The following is a 17,405-nucleotide window of genomic DNA, read 5'->3' as shown; positions in this document are numbered from 1 at the left end:
AAGGTTTGCACCCACTGTGCGACATGAGTGGCAGCTCTGGAAAATCATAAAATCATGGGAGGACTTGAGAGTGCAGGCTGGGTGGGGTGGGACTGTGGCTGCGAAAAACAGTGTTATGAAACTGTGCGCGGGACAAGAAAGCTGATTTTACTGATTGTATATTGGGGAGTACTACGGGAATCACTGGAGAGGCCACTTCATTTTCTCCTATCCCACCCCATCTTTTGGGGTTGCAACTAACCAGTAAGTTTACACATTGAGGATACAATGGCGAAACGGGGCCGCGAGGCGATGACGTCATTCGCGGGAGTAGGGGGGAGAAGCGACCACTGTTAGGGTACTGTCCATAAAGGCAATTTGAAAATATTTCAGCCTTTTTACTTTTATACTTCCGGCCCTTGCAGTTTGAGGTGGTAACAAACGACTGCTGCTCCCAACCACTTTCACCACCGCCTGTTACCATGGGAGCGCTCGGGTAGCTAGGCTTGGACGACTCTATTCTACGTCATCATCAAAGCGCATCTCAGGACTGATAGCTCCGCCCTAAACTAAGGGAGAGACTGTGCTCCCAAGTACGTAGCCTGCAGTGCCTAACGCATTCTCAGCAATTTTGACCCCCAACAGACGCCGTCGACAGTCTCCCAAGAACAATTCCCAGGAGCTCGGATTCCAAGAGCCGCCCGCGCCCTCGTTTACCTTCGCTAGTCGCCCTGCAGCCCCGCCCTGTCCGGAGGCCCCGCCCTCCATGAATCAGCTGATCCCGCGGACCCACTGGGTTGCCAAGCTCGCGCCGGATGCGGAGCGCGGTGCTGCCGGTGGAGCTTCAGGTGAGCGAGTGTGGGTCCCGGGTTGGCTATTGGCTAAGGAGGGCTTATCGGCTGGGACCCCTTGTATGCGGAAGGCCGGGGACAGGGAGCTAGGCGGAGGCTGTGGTCGAGGCCGGAGAGCGCCCTGCGGGGGGCCTGCGGAGACGGCGCCCGCATTTTCCCAGCTCTGGGTGCGATCGACTGCTCCTGCCGGTCCAGCAGCGCCCGAGGCGGCCCCTGCCTTGGCCCCAGGTTCTCCCACTTGCCCCGGTCTCTCCCTCCCCAGACTGGGCGCCGCTGCAGTGGTCTCAGCTGCGTGAAATTCCTTCAAGCCCCCTCTTCCCGCCTCCACCCACGCTGCCTTCCAGCTATTCATTCACGAGAATTTCTTGAATGCCCACACTAGGCGCTGAGCTGATAAACTGGGGTCCGTGGCCTGGAACCCTGCTGAGTGTCCCTGGCGGCCTTGCCACAGGGTGCAAATCGCGTTGAAGAGTGGACCAAGGGCTACTTGAAAAGGCGGTTGCGGAGAAAGAAAATAGCTTTGATAATAAGAATTAGTAGTTTAGGCAAGTCTTTGAGCCTATCAAGTAATTCATCAAGAGGAGAAGATAAGTTATTTTGAGAAGCGAAGCCAGAAAAATAACACAGGTCCTTGACGCTGGTGTTCGTCCTCGGATAATAGGGCTGCTTTGGAGACAGGCAACAGTAGACTGGTAGAATCGTTCTATTGCTTAAGGCTTTGATGGTGGAAGAGAAAAAACACTCTTGTTGAAGTGGCATATCCAAGAACAGTGCTTTCTTTCTGGTTTAGGATGGAGAAGGAACTGACTGCTGTACCCAAGTGAAGATCTTTACTCAGTTACCCTTATATTTGGCTATATGGAATAAAATTGTGTGATATGTTTATTCTGAGCAGGTACAAAACTTCAGCAAACCTATTGGTCCCACATTTTCCCCCCCATTTATCATATGATTTGGAGTGACCGGTTGACCTTTGAGTTAATGAATAATTTAAAGCAGTGAAAAATTTTTTGCAGTAAACTACGGTGTTTTAACCTTGATAACATAAGCATAGTGGTTAAGATTCTAGGCTTTGTATCTGAACATACCCAGAGTCACATCCATTTACATCTTTGATTTTGGGCAAGTTATTTAATCTCTCTGCCTCAGTTCTCTTGTCTCTAAATTGGGGATAAAAATGTTTTCCTGATAACAGTACCTTTACGTGTAATGGTTCATGTATCGTATTTATTACAGTGCCTGTTTTATGGTAAATATTCAATACATATTAGCTGTTTTTATAATTAATTCCTCCCACTACATCATGATCCAAACTGACTCTTTTCTTAAGTGATGGGGAAGGGAACTGAATATTTTAAGGAAGTAGCTATAAAATATGATTTCAAGTTGTTCTGTAGTAATTTTGGTGTTCCATAAGGACATTTTAATGTGAAAAAGATACTGACAGAATCTATACATGGTTTGAATTTATTAGTTTCTAAACTATGACCAGTATTAGCAGATTTAAAATTCATAATTATAGCAAGAAAACGTCAAAGTTGTTTAACAGTGTTAAAATTTGAAACTGTAATGATCCAGAAAAATGAAATACCAAACCGATAATTTTGGGAAAAAAACAAAACTTGAGTGGCATTATGCAGGCCATTTACTTTTTAAATGTACTCAATATAAACAGGAATCCCTTCTCTCCAAATTTCAGTTTTTCAGAATTTGGGCTGTCATTTGAAACACTTACTTTGGGCACTTTGACTGTTAAAGAAGCAAAGGGTATGCTAAGAACTTCAATGAGTCTTGATGTTAGTGTTTTTGTAATTAGGTGGAATCTCCTACCTTTTCATGAAAACTGGGTTTAAAGCAGTAGCTGCTGGGTCCATTCTAATGATAATCTCAAAAATGTGACTGACTTGTAAAAATCTACAATTATTTATTAATGTGAGACTAGGTAAAGTATGAGTTGAAAAACTAGGAAGAAAGGCAGAGTGGTGATTTTTAAGCTTGTATAAAGGAAGGCCCGCTTTGGGTACTATGAGGTACCTTTCTCACTCAGAGGCATGCTGTGAGGATTTGTGACTTTTAAATCATTTAGCTCTTTTTATAACTTTGTGGAATTAAATCTACCACGTATTTCAAGTGTATTCAGGATATGAATTTTCCTGGTAGAGAGTTTTAACAGATTTTTTTCTCTTAACCCTTCATTGATGACCAAACAATTTTGTTGTCTGTAATAAGAAAGTACTCGGTTTTGTAGGGTGTCAGTCCTTAAGAAAATGTTAGGTAGTCATCAATAAAATAGCAACAATCTCTGGCTTGTTTCTTTTTCATATTGCATTTAATTTTCCTTTCCCTGTCTCTTATTCATCTGTATATGTGATGGTGCTTTCTTTAGCTTATGTCTTGATGTTTGCCTGCATGTAGCTGAACTGATTGATCCAGGTGGGTAGAGGAAAAAATATTTAAATTGGTAGTTTTTGGAGCTATTGTATATTTCTTTCAAATTTGAAGAAAATTTACAGTTTTCTCAATACCTATGAGAAAAAGACTGGGGTTTGTTGGCAGAGTTTCGCTTAGCTGCTAGTGAATTATGTCCAGAGAGAAGATCAGCTTTCATCTCATTAATTCCACAAATTGATCATCTCATGTTTCCCTTAATTATCACATTTTAAATATTTTTCTTTTGAGTCATCACACAGTTCTTCAGTTCACATGGCCTCCCTATCAGGAAGGGAGTGGTTTAGACCCAATAATGGCATTTGGGTGGGCTAACATTCACTCCAGGATTTTTTTTTCTTCCACAGCCTAAATTTTTGTAGAGCCAAGATCTTAACTAAACTTGGGGCAATTGGCTAAGCAAACATATAACAAGGATGATTATAGCAGCTCTTTAAAAGAGCAATAAAGTAGAGCAATCCAACTGTAAAGATTAGTGGGGAAATGGATAAACTGGTTTATTCATGCAATTCAATACTATCTTCTCATAAAAATGAATGAGCTAGATCTATACTTACCAACATATATACATCTCAAGTATGTAATACTGGGTGAAAAAAGCAAAATGCTAAAGGATTTATACAGTAAGATGCATTTGTGTACACTTTGAAAGCAACATAATAGCATGCATTATTTATTGATATGTGTATATCTAATGAAAGTACATAAAAGTAAATATGAAAACGTGGGAATGGGATACATTAACTTTAGAAATAGTAACTAATTCTGAGTGGAGTTTCTTCACCTCTGTAACTTATTTTTTCTTGTGTTTTAAAAAAGAGCTGAAGCCAATATGAAAATATGTTAATATGTGTTAAAACTGGATGATGAGTACATAGATTTGTTATTTATTTTTACAGTTTTATGTATAGTTAAGATAGTTTGTGAAACTAGCACTTTAACATTTTTATTTATAATCAGGACTGTTTCCCAATATGTTTGCTTTATTTTACTTTGTACCCTCAAATTAGGAGACTGTGGAAAAAGAACTCTTCTTTCCCTGCAATAAGAAAGGAATGTGCCAGTGCAGCTCCACTATGTAAAGCTTTTCTAAGGAGAGGAGACAGACCAATTATTTGGTCAGTTTTGCTTTGCTGTTTGTGCTCCTGGGAAAATGCTTTCTTTAGGACATGAAGCCTGCAGGGGAATTAACATTCTAGAGATGCTTGGGAAATGTAGGCATATACCAATCATGAACTCTGGAAGTATAGGGGAGCAAGTTGTATAATAAGGCCCTCAAAGGAATTTGGACATGTTGTGACTCAGATACAAAATTACTACAGATTTGTGTAGTATTAGCATTAACACTTTGAAAAGCTTAACTTGGTTACATTTTATTACAACGTAGTTATCTTGAGTTTATACCTTGAATGCAAGTATCCCAGTTGTTGCTCAAAGAAAATAGTTGTCTCTATAGATATTAGTAAGTAACCTGATGACAATGTGTTAAATGGTTGACTAATGAATAATACGTTTAGTAGCTGATCCCTAATGTAACCTCAGTATTTAAACTTGTGAGTTAAACAATATTTTTATTTCTAATAAAGAGAACCTGCTACTAGCACTATTAAAGCAAGTGAAACTTGTATCACGAGAATAATATTTTTTAGTATGTGTATTTCCTGTTTAGTTATGTGGCCCCTGAATGATCCTAAGCACTGTTATCAGTTGGTGAAAGAAGTCATCATACTTTGAACTGTAAATCTAATATTGCCTTTGAAAAAATTGTGGCCATTTTAATAAGAGAGTAGTTGCAAATATTAACGGAATAAGTAGTTTGTGTCAGGACTTACCAGGACATTCACTGTACCATGTAATAACAGGCACAAATAGTGGCAGTACCTGGGAATTTGAAATTCATTTGTTAGTATTATAATATTCATCACAATGCATCATGGGATTATTATTTAATAATCCTGAAAAATGTGTTTAAAATATGCAGTGGGTACAAAAAAGAGCTAAATGGGCATTGCTGGGAACTTATTGTACCATGTTTACACACTTTCCCCCCACTCCACCATGAATAATTTCCGATTAGAGGATCGTCATAACCAGGAGAGTGTAGTTTCAGTAAGTTTCAGCATGAAATTAGCAAGGCATTAAAAAAAGACTGTAAAGTCTTCCTGTTTCTCATTGCACCAAAAGCTGTCTGTGTACTAAGGAGAAAGGGAGAAAGGAACACTTCTCTGAGTTGTTTAACCATTTTTAAAGTGACATGAGATAAAAGTGTCTTCATTGTTAGGATATACCTTTAGCAAATTATATATGAGAGTTTCTATTAGGAGAAGACACTTTTTTCTTTTGTATCTGTTACTGACTTTTATTACAGGCACTAGAAATCTATAGCGTGGAAGTCTGTGGATTGCAACTGAAAATCAGGGGCTGTATCTTTCACTCAAGCACTCACTTAAATGTAACCAGCTTGTTCAGAATGATTATTATGGGTACAAGAGTATACCGGTGAATAAGTCATAGTCTCTGACCTCCAGGAGCTTAAAATATATTTTGAATCAGTGACTTAGTGCATATCCTATTAGTAACAACATTATAACTAATAAGTAGCTTTCTAGGCCAGCCTACCGAATATATCCAATGCCTTAATTTACTGAATTCTCTTACTCTGAGTCAAGATTTGAAGGCTCATTGGCTCCCATACTGGTATCAGGCAATGCTTTCTGTGCAGCAGTTAAGGCTGAGAGGCGTGGGGTTCCAAGTGGCCTTCTTGGTGGTTAGTTGGCCAAGGCTTCAGTGCAAGGTGAGTTTTCCTCAGCCTTCCACAGTGGTTGGGAAGGCTTCAGTGGCAGGATATCCAGGAAGTAGCAGTTGTTGTTGGTGTATAGATTATTTGTAAGTCAGGTGTTTGAGTCAAAGGTTACCATAATCCATGTGTAAACATTGACCTAGCCTCTAAAAGCAAATTATTTATTAAGCATTTACCATGTGTAAAATACCAGACTCTGTTATTGTTTACTGCAAAGTGTAAACTCTGGTTTACTACATTGTAATAATATGTAACCAACTCAGACTTTAAAAAGGAGGTGTTAATGACTATAGGAAATTGATGGTAATTTTGTATCCAAATCACTTGTCACTCTACTACATTGTAATAAAATGTAACCAACTCAGACTTTAAAAAGGAAGTGTTAATGGCTACATGAAATCTATGGTAATTTTGTATCCAAGTCACTCAATGTCTATATTCCATTCAGGGCATTATGATACAGTTTACTCACCTATTATTTTTATTGCCTTTCTATCTGAATGTCTTGTCATTCTAATCACTGATTAACATTACTCTTATAACTACAATTATTACTGTTGTTTTACTATTTTAAACCGGTAATTGAGACAGGAGAATAAGACTAGGAAGGCCCAGTTTTGCTAGTGTAAATTAGCTTTCTTATCCCTTAAGGGTACTGTCTAACTCTATAGAGAGCCATTATTCTAATGAGAAAGAGAACATACTAGTATGGAAATTTCTTAAGGGCAGGAAGTCATGTATTTACAGATGTTTATTGAGTACCTGTTATATATCAGGACTAAGCTGCTGGGATGTACTAGAAAATACGATATTTGTCACTCTGCTTCCATGGAAATTTTAGACTAGCATAATACCTGGAACATAGTAGATGAAAAAAAATACATGTGGTTTTAGTGGTTGAAATTTAAGCATTTGCAAGTTATTATACTTATGACTCACAAATTTACCTTTCACCGAATTAAGCCAAAAAGACTTTATCCAGAAAATAGTTGAGTAGAGATGAATACATAGGATCCTGCATGATTTAACTTTCTCTTTGCATTTGGGATAATACACTCAACACATTTCTCTACCACATTTAAAATTTTTATTTATATCCTGCCTTCTTCCCAAAAGGATTTAAAGCAGCTTACAAAAATGTATAGCAGGGTGGGATAAAATAAAGAAACAGACTATACAACATGCATACTGTGAAGTCCTCTTCACTTCCAGGTACCATCATATGGAACCCTTATCCTCCCACCACAAAATGTATAATTCTGCTTATATCTGTACCTGTGATCTCTCTTCTTTCAAAAACGTAGACCTTTCTTCTTATGAAAAAAACAATCCCCCCACATATATTCTGGATGGCATCCTCCTTCACTTTGTCTGGGACTTTGGCTCTGCCCACTGTCCTCATCATCCTTGTATCCAGGACCACAGCCTTTGTCATGCAGACATATTCAGCTTCCTCCCATCTCCCCAACCTCCAGCAAAAGAAAACCCTTCATTTTCACATTCCCCTTCAGCTACTGCTCCATTTCTTTGTTTGCCATTTCAACATTTTTCAAAAGGATCACCCACTGAAAATAAAGATATTTCCACATTGTCACCTCCTGTTTATATTCAGCTTACTTCAATCTGGTTTTCAGTGCCCAAACAAACCACTGAGATTGTGGCCATGCTCAGCCGTTACCTGTGTTGGCAAATCCAATGGACACTTTAGTTATCTTACAAGACCCCAGCTGCCTTGACCTAATTGACGTCCTCCCTGAAGTGCTTTCCTTTGCTTTCATGTGCCCACGGCAGACCACTTCTCAGTCTCAGTCCTCTTTGTCCGATCCTCATCCTATCCAACTTCCAGGCGCAGGAGCTCCTTAAAGCTTGACACTGCGCTTTCCTTTCTCTTTCCATATACCCAATGACATTATCTATTGTCTTGTTTTTAAACACTATCCATACGCCCTCCCAAGTTTAGCAGCTGCTGAGACTTTTCTCTTGAACTCCATGTTCATATATTCAGCTATTCACTTAATATGTACTCTTGGGTTTCTCACAGACATCTTGAACTTAAAAATAAATTTTATCCTACCAGAATCTTATCTTTGCTTCAGAATCGTATCTCCCTCACTCTTGCCCATTTCAGGAAATGGAGCCACCAACACACAGCTATTTGAGGCAGAACCAGGGATCATTTCTGATACCTGCTTCTCCTTGGTCCCCCACCTTTGTCTAATCACCAAGTACTAGTTGTTCTGCCCCCAGAGCATCTCTCATTTATTCACCTCTTCTTCACCAAATTGGCAGCATTGTATGAAACTTAAGAACCCAGGCTTCCTTCCTCCATTGAGAAGATGAGCCGATGGAGTATTTGCAGGCAGGATATTCCTTGCAAAAATTCATTTTGGTGCTCCGTGAGTGTTCACCATAAAATTGGTTTAAAACTTTTGAAACAAATGTAAATCGTCATTGAAATAAATCATTGGCCCTTCGCATTGGCTCACGCCTGTAATCCCAGCACTTTGGGAGTCCAAGGTGGGCAGGTCACAAGGTCAGGATTTCAAGACCAGTCTGGGCAACATAGTGAAACCCTGTCTCTACTAAAAATACAAAAATTAGCCAGGTGTGGTGGTGTGCACCTGTAATCCCAGCTACTCGGGAGGCTGAGGCAGGAGAATCATGTGAACCCAGGAGGTGGAGGTTGCAGTGAGCTGAGATCATGCCATTGCACTCTAGCCCAGGCGACAGTGCAAGACTCCATCTCAAAAATGAAAAAAAAAAAAAAAAAAAAAATCATGAAAGCATCCATAGACTGTCCCACTGGAAGCAATGCAACTCCCCAGTGTACTCTCCAAAATGAAGTAAATGTTCAAAGTACATAAAAGAAACCAAGTTAAGTATAAAATAGTTAAAAGTTTTGAGACTTCTACTAAAAAACGATAGTTGTTTTTGAATATAGATTCCTGGTCCTTTATTCAAAACCCTTGGGGCAAGGTGCATTTTGGAATTCAGATTTATGTTTTGTTCTTTAGAGTAAGATGCATAAACTATATATTATATAACACTTCCTGTGGGATCTGTGGTGCTGCCCTATTCATACTGATATTTCTACAACACGATGTATGAATATTCACACTAAAGGGATAAAAGTGATAAATAACCTCATATCAGTTCAGGTCAGATTTTGCTGTCAGATGAGTTCAGGTCAGATTAGATTTTGCCACCAAAAGTGTTATTGAAAAAACTTTTAATTTTCAGAGCTATAGATTTCTGGTTAAGGTATTGTAGACCTGTAAGATGGTTGTAGCTCATCTTTCTAACAGTTGGGACATCTAGACTAGATTGTTGTTGTTGTTGTTGTTGTTAAGGGCACTTCCAGATCATGGTATTAAAATGATATCCTTGGCTCGTACAGGACAACTTATTTCTCTGTTAGATGTAACAGAAGGATGTGTATCCAGTGGAGTCTAAAAGTGGCATCAGTTTATTAAGAAGCAAGGTTTGCTCTTTGTTTAAAGGGCCCCCTGGGGTTTTGTTACTTTACATATCACTGTGAAGGAGATAATAATTTGAAGGATAGAGTGGTATGCTTTAAAGTGAATCTAGCTGTGTCCTGCGGTTCAGAAGACTGAAGTCTGGTTTGCTCATTTTACGGAGATGCCATTTATCTGTGGAGAGGCCATGCAAGGTAAGAGAGGGTCCCACAGTAAATGCTGTTTATGCAACATCACATGGCTTCTTTATCAGAGCTGGTTAACAGGTCTATGCAGGAAAGTTACTGTAACAGAAGAAAAGCAGCAGAGTACAAGGATCTTGCCCTCTTAAGGAATGATAAAGACCTTAAAGCTTCTCTGGAAGAAATATCCCCAGAGGAAGTTTTATGATTAGGCAATTTTATAAAAACTTAAAATGTTAAAGCAATGAAATAACATACAGAAATTTGAATGCTATTTGACTGGTTGAGGTGAGTCTTAATAGATTTCCTGGAGAGACAATCATAAAAATATTAGAAAGACAAAAGTTTTTCATTTACTTTCTTTTCCTGGATGGATACGTAATTGAGAAAGAATGTTAGATTAAATAGAGTTGGTAAATACCACCCTTACTTAAGTATATGAGGATAAAACTTTAATAACATAAGATCCCCACATTTAGTTGCAATATTCCTTTTTAGTTATGTTTCCTCAGCAATCAGTTTTCTTCATTGCCCTATTGGAGTTTCAGGCAGACGTATCTTGTTGGAAGATGTCAAACATATTAAACACCATTAAAACAAAATGAGATAGGGGCCGGGCGCGGTGGCTCAAGGTGGCTCATACCTGTAATCCCAGCACTTTGGGAGGCCGAGGCAGGTGGATCACCTGAGGTCAGGAGTTCGAGACCAGCCTGGCCAACATGGTGAAACCCCGTCTCTACTAAAAATACAAAAATTAGCTAGGCGTAATGGCGGGTGCCTGTAATCCCAGCTACTCGGGAGGCTGAGGCAGGAGAATTGCTTGAACCTGGGAGGCGGAGGTTGCAATGAACCGAGAGCGTGCCATTGCACTCCAGCCTGGGTGACAAGAGCAAAACTCCGTCTCAAAAAAAAAAAAAAAAAAAAATCTGTAAATACTGATGTAAAAAGATGTCTGTGAAATAATATATTAGTTTTCTACTGCAGCTGCAACAAATTGTTATGAACTTAGTGGCTTAAAATAACACAAATAAATATATTATCTTCAAGTTCTGTGGGCTGAAAGTCTGTCACAGGTCTTGTAGACTAAAGTCAAGGTGTCGGCATGGCTGCTTTTTTCTGGACGCTCTAGGAAAGAATTCTTTTCCTTGCCTTTTCAGCTGCTACCTGTCACCTGCATTCCTTGGCTCATGGCTGCCTTCTTCCATGTTCAGTCAGCAGTGTAGCGTCATCTCTGACCCTGCCTCCATCATCATGTCTCTTTGATTCTCCTCCTGCCTCCCTCTTCCACTTTTAAGGATGTTTATGATTACATTGGGTGCACCTGGATAACCAGGATAATCTTTCTATCTTAAGGAGAGTTGGTTAGTATCACACAACCTAACATAGTCACAAGTTCTGGGCATTAGGACCTTGATGCCTTTGGAGACCGTTATTTGGCCTGCCCTATAGTAAGTAAGAAAAGAAAGTTGTAAAAACAGTTTGTAGAGTTTTAATTCCATTTAGGTTAAAAAAAAAAATGAGTGGTGGTGATAAATAATATTGAGTAAGGTGTAACCAACTTTAAGAAAACTGTGCTCAAAAATCTGGCACTAAGAGAGAATAAAGGTTGACTTTATTCATTTTATCAAAAGATTCTCAACATTTTTGATTGTTAGTAGGACAAAATTCCGTTTACATATAGTGTGTCAGTTGTGTGAAGTAAGGTGTGCTTGTGTGCTTCCACATCCTCGTAGAATAATTCTCTGGCTTCCGCTACCTATTGTTGAAATTTAATCAAGGGCGTAGTAACTCCATGATCTCTGATAGATAAGCACAGATTAGATCTGGTGGCAGAATTTCTCTGTACACCATGAACTGTGCATTTTACAAAAGGCTAATTACTATCATGGACAAAGCATAGTAGCACTTAATTGTATTTATTAAATGAATATCATTTATTAAATTTATTCAGATATATCTCTTGTTAACATAGTACCCATTTTCCAACTTTGAATGATTCATAATCTTTCTAAAATAAGCATTAGGTGGAAAGTAATTTTCTTCAGATGTACAGATGGGAAATGGTAAGAATTCACAGGCAACCTGGAGGAAACAGATGGACCCCAGATCACTCCTGCCAGTATGAGCTGTTTCCAGAACACAGTGACCATTCCATATCCTTTTGCAGAAAAACCACAAATTTGGCCCCAATATTTTTATGGTTTACACAAATAAGACCTAACTGCTTTTGTTTTCTTGTGTTTTGGTACCCTTACAAATGTGGATTTCTGAGTTGAAATGCACTCAGCATTTCTGTTTATTTTTCTATCTCTTATTTTATTAAATACTGAGTTTCTAAACTGATGGGCCATGATATTTGTAACTATAATTTTCATACAGCTATTTTCTATTAAAGGTGGATTTTAAAACAGCTGATTTAAAATTCAGACTTCTTTCTTTCAACCGTTTGGGTTATGAGGCATGTTGGTCTGAATCGAAGGTGATTTGGGGAAAATGTTCCTTCTTCCAATAAGTGGAAAACTTCCTATTTTAATGACATAATTTTTGTGCATTACTGAAAAGTATAAATTAAAACTACTTGAATCAGATACATTACTGAAGAGATTTTAGAAAATCTGAGTTAATTGGTATTTAAGTCTTCATGCATTCCAGACAGAGCGTTTAAAAAGTACCCTTAATGTGTGTGTACTTTTTGTACTTAACACATTGATTTTTCAGATTGAACTTTTTTCTTTATAATAAAAAACAAAATCTATTGCCTGGAAGAGTACAGCTTAATTGTGGGTAGTCTTTTCTTCCTTTGACATTACATTTGACAGTCAATGGGCATTTTTATAAGCTTAGTGGGCAGGCTCAGCCTATGTTTGACTTTGGCAGGCAAGATATGAAATAGTTTAAATAGTTTTACTGCATATTTATTTCCTAGTGAATGTGCACTTGTTAGAGGGCTGCTTTTTTTTTTTTTAATGTCTGAGGGGTAAAATATTCTTTTACTGCTCTTTTCCTTACTTGTACTGTTTAGGTCTTGATAGACTTTCTGTAAAGAAGGAATGATTTGGTGATGGAGTGTTCCCACTGACCGATGGACTCAAAGAAGAGAAGGTAAAATCATTTCTTCCTTTTCTCTTATCCTCCTAGGAAAACATAGCAAACAGCTTCACATATGTGTAGCTTCTCTTCAGTTTAATTTTCTTGTTGATGGTTGTTAAGTGGGAATAGTGACATTTGTAGTTAGTTCGTTGGTAAAGATAAAATTTTAAAAAGGCTTGTTAGTTGTAAGCTTTGTAAGAAGCACTAAATGTCTTCATTTCATCATTTTAAAGTGCTTGTAGCCATTTTTCCCTCACAAATAATTTCAGGTTTTCAGAAGTAGCCTTGCTAATCTTAATCATCTTCCATCCTTAAAGAACTAGTTATGGAAGATATTTAAAAGGAAGGTTAAATGTATACTGTTCCTCCTATAGAACCATGGTTATGTCCAGTTATAATTTAAGGGAATATTATTTAGCAAATATAGATAAATGCTTAGCTATTCAAAAGAGTTTCTGTGCCTCATTAAAATTTTGGCATCAGCGTTCTAGAAAAAAGAAAATGAAAAAATGTATTACCAATGGTGGCACATATCTTAATGTGCCCTTTTCTTAGAAGAAGGCAGTTAGGATATGGTCATTACTGTGCAGCTATGTGTTTTGTATTCTTTAAACCGAAATCATCAGATGTGTAGAATTCTTTAGCTAGAACTTGAGCAAAGCATTAAGGATTTTACTGATATCTATTATAAACTTGATTCCTAAAAATTTAAATAGCAGTTCTACACTTAAACTCAACATAAAGTGAAATATGAATTCCTGTTTCTCATATTGTTCTCATCAAGTACTTTTTACTTACTATAAAATTTTATGATAAGACTTCAACTTGGGCATGTTGTAGCTTTGATATCTCAACAAGGAGTGAATATATTGAGAAGTTAGAATCTTGGAATTTTATGCTACCAAATGCTAAAACTTCTAAAAATAGCCCAAGTTTTGTTTGCTTCTTAGATGGAGAAAAGTAATTTGTGGGTTTAGAGTGTCCTTCAGTCTTTTTTTTTTTTTTTTTTTTAGACAGAGTCTTGCTCTGTCGCCCAGGCTGGAGTGCAGTGGCAAGATCTTGGCTCACTGCAACCTCCGCCTCCCGGGTTCAAGCGCTTCTCCTGCCTCAGCCTCCTGAGTAGCTGGGACTACAGGTTCACGCCACCATGCCCGGCTGATTTTTTTTTTTTTGTATTTTTAGTAGAAACAGGGTTTCACCGTATTAGCCAGGCTGGTCTCGAGCTCCTACCTTGTGATCTGCCTGCCTCGGCCTCCCAAAGGGCTGGGATTACAGGTGTGAGCCACCACGCCCCACATCCTTCAGTCTTTTATATAAATAGTTGTTTTACCTTGGCTTCTGTGAGCATAACCAAAGCATAAAATAGGTGCTAATTCAGCTATCTGACCTAGTCATCCATGTGCTGGTAAAAGGTACAATCATGAAAAGTATTAAGAACAAAGGATACTGTTCTGAATTGTAGAAACAATTAAGCTATGTTTCTTGATGTTTTAGCTCAACAGAGGCAGAAGGATCCAAGGAAAGAGGCCTGGTCCATATCTGGCAGGCAGGATCCTTTCCCATAACACCAGAGAGATTGCCAGGCTGGGGAGGAAAGACTGTTTTGCAGGCAGCCCTCGGAGTGAAACATGGAGTTCTTCTGACTGAAGGTAATGAAAAGAATGGCGTAACAAATACGAACTGCAATGCTAACAAATGCCTGAGTGTGGAAGGTCAGGTATGGGAGTCATTGGATACTAGGGGTTCTTTTTCTTTTTCTTTCTTTTTTTTTTAAATTTTATTATTATTATGCTTTAAGTTTTAGGGTACATGTGCACAACGTGTAGGTTTGTTACTTATGTATACATGTGCCATGTTGGTATGCTGCACCCATTAACTCATCATTTAGCATTAGGTATATCTCCTAATGCTATCCCTCCCCGCTCCCTCCACCCCACAACAGGCCCCAGTGTGTGATGTTCCCCTTACTGTGTCCATGTGTTCTCGTTTTTCAATTCCCACCTATGAGTGAGAACATGCGGTGTTTGTTTTTTTCTCCTTGCGATAGTTTGCTGAGAACGATGGTTTCCAGTTTCATCCATGTCCCTACAAAGGACATGAACTCATCATTTTTTATGGCTGCATAGTATTCCATGGTGTATATGTGCCACATTTTCTTAATCCAGTCTATCCTTGTTGGACATGTAGGTTGGTTCCAAGTCTTTGCTTTTTTTTATTTTATTTTTTTTGAAACTGAGTTTTGCTCTTGTCGCCCAGGCTGGAATGCAATGGTGCAATCTCAGCTCACCACAACCTCTGCCTCCCAGGTTCAAGCAATTTTCCTGCCTCAGCCTCCCGAGTAGCTGGGATTACAGGTGCTCACCACCATGCCCAGCTAATTTTTTTGGTATTTTTAGTAGAGATGGGGTTTCACCATGTTGGCCAGGCTGGTCTTGAACTCCTGACCTCAGGTGATCCACCCGCCTCGACCTCCCAAAGTTCTGGGATTACAGGGATGAGCCACCACGCCCAGCCTAGGGGTTCTTAATGAACTATTTCTGTTTTCAAGATATATTCTTACTCCCTTATCAGGAATCAGATTAGTTCTTAAATTTAAAATATACTATTAACTAGAATAAAAGGGAGAGTTATAGTTTTAAAATTTTATGGTAATAAATACATGAAAAATTAACTTTTTAAAAGGTTACCTATTCAGAGACTCTTGCTATAACTTTTGTTCATTAAGTCTATCAGAATACTAATGCTAATAATAGCTAATGTTTGTTAAGCAGTTGTATGCCAGACACTATACTAAGCCCCATGTGTTAGTAGATAACAAGTTAGTGAGATAACAAGTTCCATGTGTTATCTCACTGAATCTGCACTGCTACCTTATGAGGTAGCTTCTATTATTATTCACAGACAAGGAAACTGAAAGTCAGGGAGATTAAATTTTCCCAAGCACACACAGCTATTGAAGTGTCAGAGTCAGGACTGGAACTCAGTCTGATTTCAAAGCCTGCTTTTAAAGCCACTTGGCTGAACTTTCTCAATATAATTTTTTTTTTCAGGCATGAATAGCAATTCACAATGCATATTATAAAATCTATGAGTCTATTACCGAAACGTGTGCTGTAATTTATAGAGGTACCTTTAATCTTAATGGCACTTTATCAACTCAATCATGACAAATTTGACTTGGGCACCAATTGCCATCTACTTCACTAATTTATAAATTTCTGCTCTGTAAGTATTTATTAAGGTATTAAATAATGCTTTGGTATTTTCTTTCTAGGAACTAAAGGAAGACAAATTCTAGGAAACAAGGATTAAATCTGGTCCTGGTGGTTGTATGGGATAAACATGGATTTCTTTCTAGTTTGTCTTATATCAGTTTTATTATAATATTATTCTTCAGGACTTTAAAAACAATCTTACTTTAAAAGTGTGAACTATATTCAATACCTGTCCTATGAGATTTAAAATATATAGTTCTCAAGCAAATATAAGTGGAATTCTGTTGTTGTTTTCAATAAGATATTTGGAATATTTTCATTAAGCTAATGAAACTGGCTGGGCACAATTGCCTATGCCTGTAATCCCAGCACTTTGGGAGGCCAAGGCAGAAGGATCCCTTGAGCCTAGGGGTTCAAGATCAGCCTGGGCAACATAAGGAGACCATGTTTCCTGGGCAACATAGGGAGACCATGTTTCTACAAGAAATATTTTAAAAATTAGCCAGGCATGGAGGCCTGCGCCTGTAGTCCCAGCTACTTCAGAGGCTGAGGCAGGAGGATAGCTTGAGTCTGGGAGACCAAAGCTGCGTGCAGTGAGCTGTGATTATGCCACTGCACTCTAGCCTAGCTGACAAAGTAAGATCCTGTCTCAAAAAAAAAAAAAAGTTATTCGACTATAAACATGGTATCTTTAGAATCATACCTTCAAGGCTAGGACAACTGAAGGAAAACTTTTCAAAAATATTTAAATAGCCTATCGTTATTCATGTTTAAGCAGTGTCCTGGTATTAAGTGTCACAGTTACCAAAAGAAAACGTCGTCTAACACAAGTGTATGTTTGAAATTGCATACGGACCTCCAGTGCTATCTTTTCCAGCTGAGGAAATGGTTGAGTGCTAGAAATTTTCAAGGTTCTTCATCTCTATTAAATATGACCATTAGCTCATAATTCAATGAAGATACCTCATTGATTCACTTTTATTTATTTATTTATTTATTTATTTATTTATTTATTTATTTATTTATTTTGAGACGGAGTCTCGCTCTGTTGCCCTGGCTGGAGTGTGGTGGCACGATCTCAGCTCACTGCAACCTCCACCTCCTGGGTTTAAGCAATTCTTCTGCCTCAGCCTCCCGAGTAGCTGGGACTACAGGCCAGTGCCAGCACTCCTGGCTCTTTTTTTTTTGTATTTTTAGTAGAGACAGGGTTTCACCATATTGGCCAGGCTGGTCTCAAACTCCTGACCTAGTGATTCGCCTGCCTCTGCCTCCCAAAGTGCTGGGATTACAGGCGTGAGCCACTGCACCCAGCCTGTTTCACTATTTTTTATATGCTCCAGTTTTTGTTTTTGTTTTTTAAGGAG

The 17,405-nt window shown here is 38.5% G+C and overlaps 1 protein-coding gene across 8 annotated transcripts in view, besides 4 other annotated features; it reads left to right on the top strand.

Moving 5' to 3' along the window:
• Positions 412-481: an enhancer, noted in NCBI's record as "active region_16994". NCBI's record gives its function as "activates an Ori minimal core promoter by ATAC-STARR-seq in GM12878 lymphoblastoid cells {active_cell/tissue: GM12878}" and the evidence as "EXISTENCE:reporter gene assay evidence [ECO:0000049][PMID:35858748]".
• Positions 492-721: an enhancer, noted in NCBI's record as "active region_16993". NCBI's record gives its function as "activates an Ori minimal core promoter by ATAC-STARR-seq in GM12878 lymphoblastoid cells {active_cell/tissue: GM12878}" and the evidence as "EXISTENCE:reporter gene assay evidence [ECO:0000049][PMID:35858748]".
• Positions 732-801: an enhancer, noted in NCBI's record as "active region_16992". NCBI's record gives its function as "activates an Ori minimal core promoter by ATAC-STARR-seq in GM12878 lymphoblastoid cells {active_cell/tissue: GM12878}" and the evidence as "EXISTENCE:reporter gene assay evidence [ECO:0000049][PMID:35858748]".
• Positions 771-17,405, top strand: part of ALS2 (alsin Rho guanine nucleotide exchange factor ALS2) — an 80,667-nt gene continuing 64,032 nt past the window's right edge. For 6 of the 8 annotated variants that reach the window (NM_001410975.1, NM_020919.4, XM_047445238.1 and 3 more), the window contains exons 1-3: positions 771-827; positions 12,759-12,838; positions 14,321-14,475. In NM_001410975.1, the coding sequence (NP_001397904.1) occupies positions 12,819-12,838; positions 14,321-14,475 (175 nt within the window). In that variant the 5' untranslated portion in view covers positions 771-827; positions 12,759-12,818. Of the gene's footprint in view, positions 1,726-12,758; positions 12,839-14,320; positions 14,476-15,876; positions 16,052-17,405 lie in introns of those variants that run through there. The other 2 variants (XM_006712654.4, XM_047445224.1) reach the window with 2 other exon arrangements.
• Positions 932-1,101: a silencer, noted in NCBI's record as "silent region_12236". NCBI's record gives its function as "represses an Ori minimal core promoter by ATAC-STARR-seq in GM12878 lymphoblastoid cells {active_cell/tissue: GM12878}" and the evidence as "EXISTENCE:reporter gene assay evidence [ECO:0000049][PMID:35858748]".

This window comes from Homo sapiens, chromosome 2, assembly GCF_000001405.40.
Source record: "Homo sapiens chromosome 2, GRCh38.p14 Primary Assembly".
Classification (NCBI taxonomy): domain Eukaryota; kingdom Metazoa; phylum Chordata; class Mammalia; order Primates; family Hominidae; genus Homo; species Homo sapiens.
The sequence above is the reverse complement of the archived record's forward strand: the minus strand, read 5'-3'. Positions and strand labels throughout refer to the sequence as shown.